This window comes from Homo sapiens, chromosome X (assembly GCF_000001405.40).
Source record: "Homo sapiens chromosome X, GRCh38.p14 Primary Assembly".
Classification (NCBI taxonomy): Eukaryota; Metazoa; Chordata; class Mammalia; order Primates; family Hominidae; genus Homo; species Homo sapiens.
Window position 1 is genome coordinate 119,366,887 of NC_000023.11, and position 14,210 is coordinate 119,381,096.

Here is a 14,210-nt window from a genome sequence, read left to right on the forward strand (position 1 = left end):
GCCATAACAATGTAGCCTCCTCTGATCTCATGCCACTCCCTCCACCTTCAGAGGTAAACACTATCCCTTCCACCTATTCATCTATCCACAGAAAACATATTGCAATTTGTCATCTTTTGAACTTTACAGAAATCAAACTATATAGCACGTATTCTGCAATTTCCTTCTCTTGCTTAGTGTGTTTATGAAATTTATTCCCATCAATGTGTATAGCTAAAATTTGCTCATTTTTACTGACATACAGCATCCCATTGTATAAGTATACCATGGTTTATTTTTCTATTCAACTGGTGGTGTACATTTGGGTTACATGTAGTCATTTACTATTACAAACAATGCTGCTATGAACATTCTTGTGTGGTCTCCTGACTCAGATATGAAAAAGTATCCCTGGCTGGGCGTGGTGGCTCACACTTGTAATCCCAACACTTTGGGAGGCCGAGGCAGGCAGATCACCTGAGGTCAGGAGTTCCAGACCAGCCTGACCAACATGGTGAAACCTGTCTCTACTAAAAATACAAAAAATTAGCCAGGCATGGTGGTGCATGCCTGTAATCCCAGCTACTTGGGAGGCTGAGGCAGGAGAATCACTTGAATCCAGGAGGCTGAGGTTGCAGTGAGCCGAGATCGTGCCACTGCACTCCAGTGTGGGCGACAGAGAGAGACTCCGTCTCAGGGAAAAAAAAAAAAAAAAAGAAAAAACAAAGAAAGAAAGAAAAGAAAAAGAAAAAGTATCTCTAGCATATTATCTGAGAGTAGAATTTCTGGGTCTTAGGGTATGTGTATGTTTATCTTTATTAGATATTATCAAATTCTTGGCCGGGTGCAGTGGCTCACGCCTGTAAACCCAACACTTTGGGAGGCTGAGGCAGGCAGATCAAGAGGTCAGGAGATCGAGACCATCCTGGCCAACATGGTGAAATCCTGTCTCTACTAAAAATACAAAAAGAAATTAGCCAGGTGTGGTGGCACGTGCCTGTAGTCCCAGCTACTCAGGAGGCTGAGGCAGAAGAATCGCTTGAACCCAGGAGGCAGAGGCTGCAGTGAGCCGAGATCACGCCACTGCACTCCAGCCTGTGCGACAGAGTGAGACTCTGTCCCAAAAAAAAAAAAAAAAAAGAATTGTTCTCCAAAATCTTTGTGCTAATTTATACTCCAACTAACAGTAAACAGTTCCCTTTTCCCTATGCCCTTACCAATAATTAATACCATCAAACTTTTAATTTTTACCAGTCTCTTGGGTATGATGTGGTGGTTTCATTATTGTTTAATTTTGTATTTTCCTGATTACAAATTATATAAAATAGCTTTCCGTATTTTTACTGTATCTTCAGATTTCTTCTTCTGTGATCTGCCTATTCATAAGCCCTTGACAATTTTCCTATTGGGCCATTTATTGGTTTTTAACTAATCTGTAGTCTTTACATATTCTAATACTAACCCTTTATCACTTATATTCATTTATTCATTCATTCAACAAGTATTTATTTAGTATATAGTATATGCCACACATTATTTGAGGACAGAAGGATGTGGCAAGTCAGCAAGGCAAAGTCCCTGATCTCAAGGAGTTTGAATTCTAGTGGGGAGACATGCAATAAAGAGCAAATAGATATATAATATCAGGTAGTAATAAGTGCTATGAAGATAAAACAAATGGAGAAGATGAAGTGACGATGGTTTTATTTTCAATACGGTGGTCAAAGAAGGCCTCTTTGAGGAGGTGACATTTGGACAGACACATTCATTAATTGAAGAAGAGAGTCAGATGTATATTTGAATGAAGAGTATTCTTCCAGGCAGAGAAAAATCAATTGCCAAGGGTCTGGGATAAAAGCAAGCATGTTGCAATTATCTTTTCCTAGACTGAAGCTTGTTTTTTCATTTTGTTTATGACTTGTCTTTTTGTACGCAAGTTTTAAATTTTTAATGTAGTATAATTTAGCCAGATTTTACTTTATTTATGGCTTATCTAGCTGTATTTTGTTTATGAAATCCCTCCTTACTACAAGGTCATAAAGATATTTGCCCTGACCAGGCGCGGTGGCTCATGCCTGTAATCCTAACACTTTGGGAGGCCAAGGCGGGTGGATCACCTGAGGTCAGGAGTTCGAGACCAGCCTGGCCAACATGGCGAAACCCCGTCTCTACCAAAAATACAAAAATTAGCCAGGCGTGGTGGCAGGCGCCTAGAATCCCAGCTACCTGGGAGGCTAAGGCAGGAGAATCGCTTGAACACAGGGGGCAGAGGTTGCAGTGAGCCAAGATCATGCCACTTCACTCCAGCCTGGGTGAAAGAGCCAAACTCTGTCTAAAAAAAAAAAAAAGATATTTTCCCATGCTGTCTTCTAAAAGTTTGTAACTACTTATCACATTTAGGTCATAAAACCACTTTGGGCCGGGTGCGGTGGCTCATGCCTGTAATCCCAGCACTTTGGGAGGCTGAGGCAGGTGGATCATGAGGTCAGGAGATCGAGACCATCCTGACTAACACAGTGAAACCCCATCTCTACTAAAAATACAAAAAATTAGCCGGGTATGGTGGCACGTGCCTGTAGTCCCAGCTAGTCAGGAAGCTGAGGCAGGAGAATCGCTCAAACCCAGGAGGCAGAGGTTGCAGTGAGCCGAGATCACGCCACTGCACTCCAGCCTGGGGGACAGAGTGAGACTCCATCTCAAAAAAATAATAAAATAAAATAAAACCACTTTGAGTTTGTTTTTGTGTACAATGTGGGGTTGAGATTTTATTTTTTTCAAAATAATAACCAGTGGTTCCAACAACATTTATTAAATAAATCATTTCCACACTGATCATGTATTAAGATTTTCTTTACACGTGGTTTCTGGGCTCTTTGCATTCTGTCCCACTGGTCTATTTTTCTCTGTACTGCCTTAATTACTACAGCTTATAAGAAGTGCTGCCATCGGGTAGGGTATATTGTACTGCTTTAATATTGTCTTGCTTATTCTTGGTTCTATTTAGAATTTTAATTGGAATTGCATTCAATCTCTAAATGAATTTAGGGAGACTTTGCATCATTACATTATTAAGTCTTCCTATACATGAACATATTTTATCTATTAACTTAGATTTTCTTTAATGTTATTCAATAAAGATTTATACTTTTTTGCATATAGGTCTTGTACATCTTTTGTTAGATTTATTCCTGGGTGTCTTTCAGTTTTTGTTTCTACTGTAAGCTCTAATTGGTACACTATTGTTTTTTTATATTGCTCTTATATCCTAAAACCTTGCTTCAATATTTTACATATACTTTTGTATTTTCTATGTGGACAGTCATGTCATCTGCAAATAATAAGCTTTGTTTCTCCTTTTTTGATCCTTACTTTTTATTTATTTTCCTTTTCTTACTACACTAATTGGGACCTACAGTACAAGGTTGAATAGAAGTGCTAGTTTTGCTCCTTTGTATCATTATGGTGACGTAAATTAATAGTTTTCTTAAGTTAGATCACTCTTTTATTACTGAGATAAACCCACCTTGGTCATAGGTATTTTCAATGCATTTTTCATTCTGATTGCTAGTATTTTGTTTTAGATTTTGGCATGTATGTTCACAAGTGAAGTTAGCATGTAATTTTTCTTTCTCATAATATCTTTGCCTGGTTTAGCATAGAGGTTATGCTAGCCTTATAAAACGAGTTGGGGGAGATTTAATCCAACAGTTTATATAGTATTGAGATTATCTGTTCCTTGTATATCTGATAGAATTCACCTATACAACCAACTATCTAGCAGGTAGGTGGTGGTTGTTTGTTGGTTGATAGATTTTAACCACTGCTTCAATTTAGTTCACAAACATAAGTCTGTTCAGTTTTCCCCATTTTTTCTTGAGTCAATTTTGGTAAATTTTAGCTTTATATAAAATTATCCATTTAAGTGTTCAAATTTAATGGCATAAAGATGTTCATAAAGTTATTTTTATTTCAATGTCCTATCTACTGTTACTTACTTTACACCCATTTATGGTTTGGTTTTTTTTTTTGTTAGATGGAGTCTCACTCTGTTACCCAAGCTGGAGGGCAGTGGCGCGATCTCAGCTCACTGCAACCTCCACCTCCCGGTGCAAGCGATTCTCCTGCCTCAGGCTTCTGAGGAGCTGGGACTACAGGCATGCGCCACCATGCTCAGCTAATTTTTGTATTTTTAGTAGAGATAGGGTTCGCTATGTCGGCCAGGCTGGTCTCGAACTTCTGACCTCAGGTGATTCACTCGCCTTAGCCTCCCAAAGTGCTGGGATTACAGGCATGAGCCACTGCGCCCGGCCCCATTTTCTTTTTTTATTCATTGATGGCACTGAATTTATTGATGAGTAGGTGATTTTTTTATGGCTTATCTCATGATTTATTCAGATCTTTAATGTCTTTCAATGAAGCTTTACAAGTTTGTTCTTAAATGCTTTATTTTTTGTTGCTCTTGAAAATGGCCTTTTTAAAAAAAATAATGTATTTTTGTGTATAGTAACCCTATTTATTCTATTTTTAAAATCTTTTATTTTAAGTTCAGGGGTACATGTGTAGGCTTGTTACATAGGTAAATGTGTGTCATGAGGGTTTGCTGTACAGATTATTTCACCACCAGGTATTAAGCCTAGTACCCATTAGTTACTTTTCCTGATGCTCTCCCTCCTCCCACCCTCCACCCTCTGAAAGGCCCCAGTGTGTGAAAGACCCCTCTATGTGTCCATGTGTTCTCATCATTTAGCTCCCACTTATAGGTGAGGACATGCAGTATTTGGTTTTCTGTTCCTGCATTAGTTTGCTAAGGATAATGGCCTCCAGCTCCATCCATGTCCCTGCAAAGGACATGCTCTTGTTATTTTTTATAGCTGCATAGTATTCCATGGTGTATATGTACCACATTTTCTTTATCCAGTCTATCATTGATGGGCATTTAGGTTGATTCCATGTCTTTGCTATTGTGAATAGTGCTGCAATGAACATACATGTGCATGTGTCTTTATAACAGACTGATTTATATTCCTTTGGGTATATACCCAGTAATGAGATTGCTGGGTTGAATGGTAGTTCTACTTTTAGCTCTTTCAGGAATCACCATACTGCTTTCTGCAATGGGTGAACTAATTTACACTCCCACCAATAGTGTACAAGTGTTCCCTTTTCTCTGCAACCTTGCCAGTGTCTGCTTTTTTTTTTTTCCTTTTTATCATAGCCATACAGACTGGCTTGAGATGGTACCTCATTGTGGTTTTGGTTTGCATTTCTCTAATGATCAGTGATATTGAGCTTTTCTTCATATGCTTGTTGTTCATACGTATGTCTTCTTTTGAAAAATGTCTGTTCATGTCCTTTACCCACTTTTTAATAGGGTCGTTTAGTTTTTTCTTGTAAATTTGTTTAAGTTCCTTATAGATGCTGGATATTAGACCTTTGTCAGATGCATAGTTTGCAAAAATGTTCTCCCGTTCTGTAGGTTGTCTGTTTACTCTGTTGATAGTTTCTTTTGCTGTGCAGAAGTTCTTTCATTTAATTAGCTCTCCTTTGTCAATTTTTGCTTGTGTTGCAATTGCTTTTGGTGTCTTTGTCATGAAATCTTTCCCTGTGCCTATGTCCTGAGTGGTATTGCCTAGGTTGTCTTCCAGGGATTTTATAGTTTTGGGTTTTACATTTAAGTCTTTGGTTCATCTTGAGTTAATTTTTGTATGATATGGTATAAGGAAGCGGTTTAGTTTCAATCTTCTGCATATTGCTAGCCAGTTATTCCAGCAGTATTTATTGAATAGGGAATTCTTTCCTCATTGCTTGTTTTTGTCAGGTTTGTCAAAGATCAGATGGCTGTAGGTATGCAGTTTTATTTCTGGGTTCTCTATTCTGTTCTGTCACGGGTGGAGGGTGTCCAGGTTCTTGGCATTTTGAACAAAGAATTGGACAAAACACACAAATAAAGCAAGGAAAGAATGAAGCAAGGAAAGCAGAGATTCATTGAAAACGAAAGTACACTCCACAGTGTGGGAGTGGGCGGAGCAGTGGCTCAAGGGCCCTGGATACAGAATCTTCTTGGGGGGAGGGAGAGCATCAGGATAAATAGCTAATGCATGGGGGGCTTAATATCTAGCTAATGGGTTGATCTGTGCAGCAAACCACTATGGCACACATTTACCTATGTAACAAACCTGTCCGTCCTGCACGTGTATACCGGAACTTAAAATAATTTTTTTTTTGAGATGGAGTCTTGCTCTGTTGCCCAGGCTGGAGTGCAGTGGTATGATATCGGCTCACTGCAACCTCCGCCTCCCAGGTTCAAGCGATTCTTCTGCCTCAGCCTCCCAAGTAGCTGGGACTACAGACACACGCCACCACGCCCAGCTAATTTTTGTATTTTTAGTAGAGATGGGGTTTCACCATATTGGTCAGGCTGGTCTCAAACTCCTGACCTCAGGTGATCCACCCGCCTTGGCCTCCCAAAGTGCTGGGGTTACAGGCGTGAGCCACCGCACCTGGCCATAAATTTTTTTTTAATGGAATGTTCGGACAGAGACCGAGACATGGGGAGAAAGCCACGTGAAGAAAGATGAAGGCAGAGATTGAAGCAATGCATCTACAAGCCAAGGAATGCCAAAGATTGGCTGCAAACCCCCAGAAGCAATGAAAGAGGCATAGAAAAGATTCTCTCTCTCAGCCTTCATAAGAAACCAACCTTGCTGACCCCTTGATTTCAGACTTCTGTTCCCTAGATCTGTGAGACAATACATTTCTGTGCTCAGTTTGTGCCACTATGTTATAACAGCCTTAGGTAATGAATGCAGCATTAGTTAATGAAGCATTGACATTGTCCAGCATAATACTGGACTAGATGTCCTTAAGGGCACTTCTTTACTTCTCTAATACACAATTTTTAAAATGGTTCAATTCAATGACAGAAGACAATAAATTGTTGGAAATATATTTAATTCATTTATTCATTCAACAAATATTCATTGAACACACTACATGGCACAGTAGGGAACAAAACAGACAATCCCCTACCCTGGTGGAGCTTACATGCTAATGAAGGAGACAGACATTAACAAAAAAAAGATAAATACATAGCCACAAACTTGTTAAGTGATATTAAGAAAATACAGGGTGTGGCCGGGTGCAGTGGCTTACACCTGTAATCCCAGCAGTTTGGGAGGCCGAAGCGGGCGGATCACCTGAGATCAGGAGTTTAAGACCAGGCTAGCCAACATGGTAAAATCTTGTCTCTACTAAAAACACAAAAATTAGCCGGGCGTGGTGGTGCACACCTGTGGTCCCAGCTACTCTGGAGGCTGAGGCAGGAGAATCACTTGAACCTGGGAGGTGGAGGTTGCAGTGCACCGAGAAAGTGCCATTGCACTCCAGCCTAGGTGACAAGAGTGAAACTCCATCTCAAAAAAAAAGAATGAAAGAAAGAAAGAAAGAAAAGAAAAGAAAAGAAAAGAAAAGACAGGGTGCTAGGAGAGAGTATAAGAGAGTATTCATAGACGTCCTCTCTGGAGAGACAATATTTAAACTGGAAAGTTGAAGGAAGAGAAGGATCTCTATGTGAAGACAGGGAAGCTCATTTCAGGCAGAAGAAACTGCATGTGCAAGGGTCTTGATGTAGAAATATGTTGGCATGGGTAAAGAACAGAAGGGCTATTAGAACTTGATATGCTTGGGAAATAAGAGAGAGAAAAAAAGTCAAAGATGACTAACTGGGAAACTGAGTGAATAGTGGGAGCTATTGACTGAGGTGTGGAAGAATCTAGGAAGAATGAAATGGGTCAGGGTAGGAAGCAAAAGTTCAGTTTTAGACATGTTAAGTTGGGAATCAGTAAATCTTCAAGTGGGAAACAATATATAAGCTTAGAGCTCAGGAGAAAGGCGTGGGCTGGAGATAGAAATTTGGGAGTCATCAGTATAGGTGGTATTTATAGCCCTGGAACTGGAAAGGATTATTAGCAAGGGAGTAAGTGGGGCTAGAGAAGGGAGAAGGGCCAAGGACTGAGTCCTGGGGCATCCTGACTCAGAGATTTGGCATTGTCAGATCTGCATTGTCATCTGAGACTCTCCCTTCCCAACTATACTGCCTTTCCCCTTTCTATCCGCAAGTGTCAAGTCTGTGTCATGGTCTGAGGCATTTCCTGCCCAATCTTGCTTCCTCCCCTTTTGTAATTCACAAGCAGACCCCAATAAACTTCTTACACTGCTAATTCTGTCTCAGTATCTGCTTCCCAGAGGACCTGAACTGACACAATTGGTACCAGGATTGGTCTGAGAAAGCAGGAGATGATTGGGGTTTTGGCACTGGATCACTTAATGAAATGAAATGAGGACTTCTTCCCAAGTAGTATGTGGACCATGGATAGTCCCTGGTACAAGATGGTGGCCCAACTGCTAAAACTGTCACTGGTAGTAACTTGGGAGAGTGTTCTGGTAAAAAGAAAATGCTCTGGCAGGTGCAATGAAGAGTAGAGATGAATAACTTTGCATAGAAGGACTGTGGACTTGGCTGGCTGTCATTAAGGTGCACAGACACCATATGAAGGGACAATTAAGTGGCTGAGGGCAGTTAACTATTGAAAACTAAGCATGAAGGCCAGAGGACCTCTTTGGTAGCTCATAAAGATGTTCTTATCTCGTTCAGTGAGACAGCAGAAAAACCTAGAGATCAAACTCAGAATGACCAAGCTTCAAAGGTGACTGTATACTCATCCAAGCCAGGTCCACGATACTCAAGTCAGCACTCCAGTTAGGCAAACCCAGGATCGTGGCAAACAGCATGGGAATGTCTAAGTGGGTGCTCCCAAAGATTTTGACTCCTCAGACTGCTCTGAACCTTTAGAGCCTGCAGCAGTAACTCATCTCTCCCTATTAAGGGCTGGCATCCACCCCATCCTTTGTGGGAAGACAGCACAAAGGCCTTTCCCTTATAAGGCACCAAGATCTGCCTCCACCTTTTCTCCTGGCTATAAGACCAGTAAGTAGGGTTAAGTCAGGGTGTAAGCCTGCCAGGGATGCGCTGGGCCTGGTAAGAAAGGAAAAGATCTATACCCCAAAGGAGTTGTAAGATCTAGCCAACATATACTAGGAGTCAGAGAGGTCCCACGGACTGGATTTAGAGTGTTTGAGCAATGGGGCCAGAACATAAGACTAGGTAAGGGAGAGTTTATTGATTTGGGGGCACTGTCCAGGAATACAGGACTTAGCACTGTGGCAAGGACCCTAGGAGTTGGTGTAAACTGGCAGTCAGGGTGGCCCCTAGAACCCTGGGGAAAGTGATAACTCACATTGAGTGAGGGTGAAATGCCTAAATTGCCAGGACAGATGGTAATGAAAGGAACTAAGTAGCGCAGGAAGGTGAATATGCTGGAGTGGTTATATAACCTGAGGCCCGAAGACCAGCCAGAGAATTATGTTGCACAGGAGGGCTCAGGAGATGCACGATTTACCAACGCCATGTGGAATGCCCTGGTGAAAGGGGTGCCAGCATCACCAAGATGTTCCATGGTGTTGCTCCTCTGCAGGCCAAGGTGGACTACAGGAGAGGCAATCACAGAGCTGGGCTTGTTAATGGAAGCCAAAGTTATAAGGGCCGAGTGACTGTGTTTAACTGCCCGAAGTCAGAAGGCTGCACTTAGACCACAGTGATTAGCAATCAGAGGAGCAGCCAAAGACACTCCAGGAGTTAAGAGGATTAATAGTGCATGTTGTCCCTAGAGGCAAAATAGGTGGATTGCCAACAAGAATATCGTTTAATTACATAATTTTTAAGTGGCAATAGATGAGGAGGAGGTTGAAGGTCAACACTCCTATAAAAAGCCATGATCTCCTGCCTAGTTCCTGGATCTGAGTTATCAGACTTAGGACTCATTGACTGAAGAGGTGGCTAGGTCCCCTGGAAGAAGAACCCTACACATCACCATGGCAATTATAAACCATAGTTTGAGTCCTTCTCCCAAAAGGACCTAAGACTTAGATGACTCTACACGAAGGACAGACATTTAGAGACTACTGGAAATTGATGTCTAGAGACCCAAAAAGTTTCTCTAACAAGGAATTCCAGGTAATAAGCAAGGAGACAGAACACAAATTTGGATAGAAGATAGTTTACCAATATAGGAGTACTCTCCTGGTATACACCCGGGGAAGGGCCCTGGAAGACAGCACAAACACAATGCTAGGATAGATCCTAGAAGCATGAAAAACATGTTGTCTGACACTAAGTGCAGTAGAAATGCCTACATTGCCCTGGCAGATAGTGAAGAAAGGAATGAGAAGGCTCAGGGAGGTGGACACGCTGGAGTGCGTATGTCATGTGAGGCCAGAAGACCCACTGGAGGATTCTCTTGTACAGAAGGACTCAGGGAACATCCAGTTCACCCAGTCCATAAGGAATGTGCTGGAGAGAGGGATGCCAGCATATCACCAGTAAATTCAATGTGGCTCTCCTCTGCAGGCCAGAGTGGATGATAGGAGGGGCAATCACAGAGCTGGGCTCATAACTAGCAATGGGGATGACGGGGCCTCTTCCATCCTGGAAGGGCCAGCAATTCATTCTCACAGGATGGACATTCTTTCTGAATATGGTTTTGCCTTTCCTGCCCACAGAACCTCATCCAGCACCACCATCCAGGGGCTTAAGGAGTGCCTGATCCACACCATGGAATCCAACACAGCACAGCATCCAAACAGGGAATTTATTTCATAGCAAAGGAAGTTTGGGAGCGTGCCTATGACCATAGGATCCCCTAGGCATGCAACATTCCACACCATTCATAAGTAGCTGGCCTGACAGAGTGATGGAATGGCAAGGAGCAGCTGAAGCACCAGCTCAGAAGCAACACTCTGCAAAGATGTGGTAGCATCCTCCAGGATGCAGTGTAAGCACTAAATTAGAGACCTCTATATGGCACCATCTCGCCAAGAGGAAAAATACATGGGTGCAGGAACCAAGGAGTGAAAGCAGGAGAACCATCATTCTCAATAACCTACTAGTAGCAAGACATTGTGCTTTCAGTCTCCACAACCTGGGGCTCTACAGTGTAAGAGGTGAGCACACTCTTGCCAGGGGCGTAGCAGGAGTCCCATTGAACTATACGCTACAGCTGCCACCAGAGCATTTTGGAGGTCAGAGACATGGGGAGTAAAAATTAGAAATACTCTGTTATAAGATGCCTGCACTACTCATGAAGCAGTATAGTGTTAGTTGAAGGTTGACTTACATTAGTTAAAAATGTACGTTATAGGCTGGGCGTGGTGGCTCATGTCTGTAATCCTGACACTTTGGGAAGCTGAGGCAGGAGGATAGCTTGAGCTCAGGGGTTTGAGACCAGCCTGGGCAACATGGTGAAAACTTGTCTCTACAAAAAAATACAAAAATTAGCCAGGCAGCATGGCACGCATCTGTAGTCCCGGCTACTTGCAGGGCTGAGGTAGGAGGATCACTTGAGTCCAGAAGGTCGAGGCTGCAGTGAGCCGAGATTGAGCCACTGCACTCCAGCCTGGGTGGCAAAGTGAGACCCGGTCTCAAAAATAAATTAATTAATTAAAATGTATATTATAAAGTATAGGGCAACCATTGCAACTGATACATTAGGAGAGGAGATAAAATGGAATCATATGAAAAGCTCAATTTAAACCAGGGAAGGCAGAAAAAGACAATAGGGAAAAAACAAAGAACAAGAGCAATAAATAGAAAACAGTTATAAAAATGGACACAAATACACACTTAGAAGAAATAAGACCTGGTTTTCAATCATCAGTAGAGTGATTAAAGTTAACGTGAATCAATTGTACATTCCAAAATACCTAGAAGAGGCCGGGCGCGGTGGCTCACGCCTGTAATCCCAGCACTTTGGGAGGCCGAGGCAGGTGGATCATCTGAGGTCAGGAGTTCAAGACCAGCCTGACCAATATGGTGAAACCCCATCTCTACTAAAAATACAAAAATTAGCTGGGCGTGGTGGCATGCGCCTGTAGTCCCAGCTACTCGGGAGGCTGAGACAGGAGAATTGCTTGAACCCAGGAGGCAGAGGTTGCAGTGAGCTGAGATCGTGCCACTGCACTCCAGCTTGGATGACAGAGCAAGACTCTGTCTCAAAAAAGCAAAACAAAACAAAACAAAATAGCTAGAGGAGAATAATTCAAATGTTCCTAGTTAAAAGAAAAGATTTATGTTTAAGATGATGGATATTCTAATTACCCTGATCCGATTATGTAAATGCATCAAATTATCACATGTATCCCAAAAGTATGTACATCTAATATGTATCAATTTAAATAAATAAATATACGAAAGAAAATAGTTATAAAGATGGTAGATATTAGTCTGACTATATCAAAGTCACTTTAAATGTGAATGGTCTAAATGCACCAATTAAAAGACAGAGATTGTCATAGTGGATAAGAAAATAAGCTCCAATTACACACTGTTTATAAGAAATCCACTTTTAATATAAAGACATAGACATATTAAAAGTCAAAGGTATGGTGGCTCACACCTGTAATCCCAGCACTTTGAGAGCCTGAGGCGGGAGGATTGCTTGAGCCCAGGAGTTTGAGACCAGCCTGGGCAACATAGTGAGACCCCATCTCTACAAAAAACTTAAAAATAAAGTAAAAAGATAGCCACAGATATACTAAAAAAACAAAAAACAAACAAACAAAAAAACAAAAAAACACTGAACACAAGAAAGTTGGGGTAGTTATATTTCTATCAGATAAAGCAGGTTTCATAACAAGGAATGTCATCAAGAATAAAATGGGGATCATTCTGCGACCGGCACTCCACAGGTCAGATGGCTGCAAAGCAGTGGCGGAGGTGACCATAGCCACATAATGTCCATAGTTCGTTTATCCGTCCATGCCAAATGGATTATGGGGAAGGTGACTGGGACAAAAATGCAAAAGACTGCTAAAGTGAGAGTGATCAGGCTTGTTCTGGATCCCCATTTATTAAAGTATTATAATAAGCAAAAAACGTACTTTGCTCACAATGCCCTTCAGCAGTGCACAATTGGGGATATCGTGCTTCTCAAAGCTTTACCTGTTCCACGAACAAAGCATGTGAAACATGAACTGGCTGAGATTGTTTTCAAAGTTGGAAAACTCGTAGATCCTGTGACAGGAAAACCTTGTGCAGGAACTACCTATCTGGAGAGTCCATTGAGTTCGGAAACCACCCAGGTAAGCAAAAATCTGAAAGAACTCAATATCTCTTCAGCACAGTGAAGGAAGAATGGAAGAAGAAGCCAAAGGGAAAGATTTACATGTTTGTTTATTTTATGGAAAAAGAAATTTTTCTAAGTTTCATCACAAACTGTGTCCAATTTCTCTTGTGGTATTTATGAAATAGCTAAAAGCAAATGAAGTAAAGGGCATATTATGGTTTTTCACAAAGGTTTATGGTCATGCTTCAAATTTTCTTTTCAGTGAACATACTTTCACGTTACACTAAGTGTGTCTAGCGGTCTGTTGCGTTTTGTAAGCTCACTGTTTTAGAAGGTTTTGTTTTCGTTTTTTGAGACAGGGTCTCGCTTTGTCGCCCAGGCTGGAGTGCAGTGGTACAATCTTGGCTCACTGCAGCCTCGACTTCCCTGGCTCCAGCAATCTTTCCACCCCAGCCTTCTGAGTAGCTGGGAGCACAGGAGCGTGCCACTACACCTGGCTAATTTTTTGTAAATTTTGTAGAGACAGGGTCTCCCTATGTTGCCCAGGCTGTTCTTGAACTCTTGGGAGTGAAATGCTCACATTGGCCTCCCAAAGTGCTGGGATTACAGGCCTGACCCATTGTGCCCAGCCAGTTTTCTTTTTTTCATTCAAAAGAATCTTGAATTTACCTTAGAACCTTTATTTTGAGGGAAGAAAGCCTTTGAATATAAACAAATAAGGCCACATTAAGTGAATCTTTTGGATGCTATATATTCAAAATAAATATTTTATTTTTCTGACTTCACCAGTTCCAAAGGGAAATAATCAACATGCTTATGGTCAGAATTTTTTTTGATCAAGCTGTATTATTAAGAATGTTGACATATAGAAAATAAAATTTTACAATTCTGAAAAAGAAATAAAATAAAATGGGGCATTATGGGGGTCAAGTCTCAAGAAAACAATACAATCTTAAAACGTGTATGCCCTAACAACAAAGCATCAAAATAAATGAGACAAAAATTGATAGAACTGTAAGAATAACTAGACACATCTACTATTATCATTGGAGA

General features: G+C 41.3%; 1 pseudogene; it reads left to right on the forward strand.

Moving 5' to 3' along the window:
- On the forward strand, nt 12,761–13,584 carry MRPS17P9 (mitochondrial ribosomal protein S17 pseudogene 9; annotated as a pseudogene).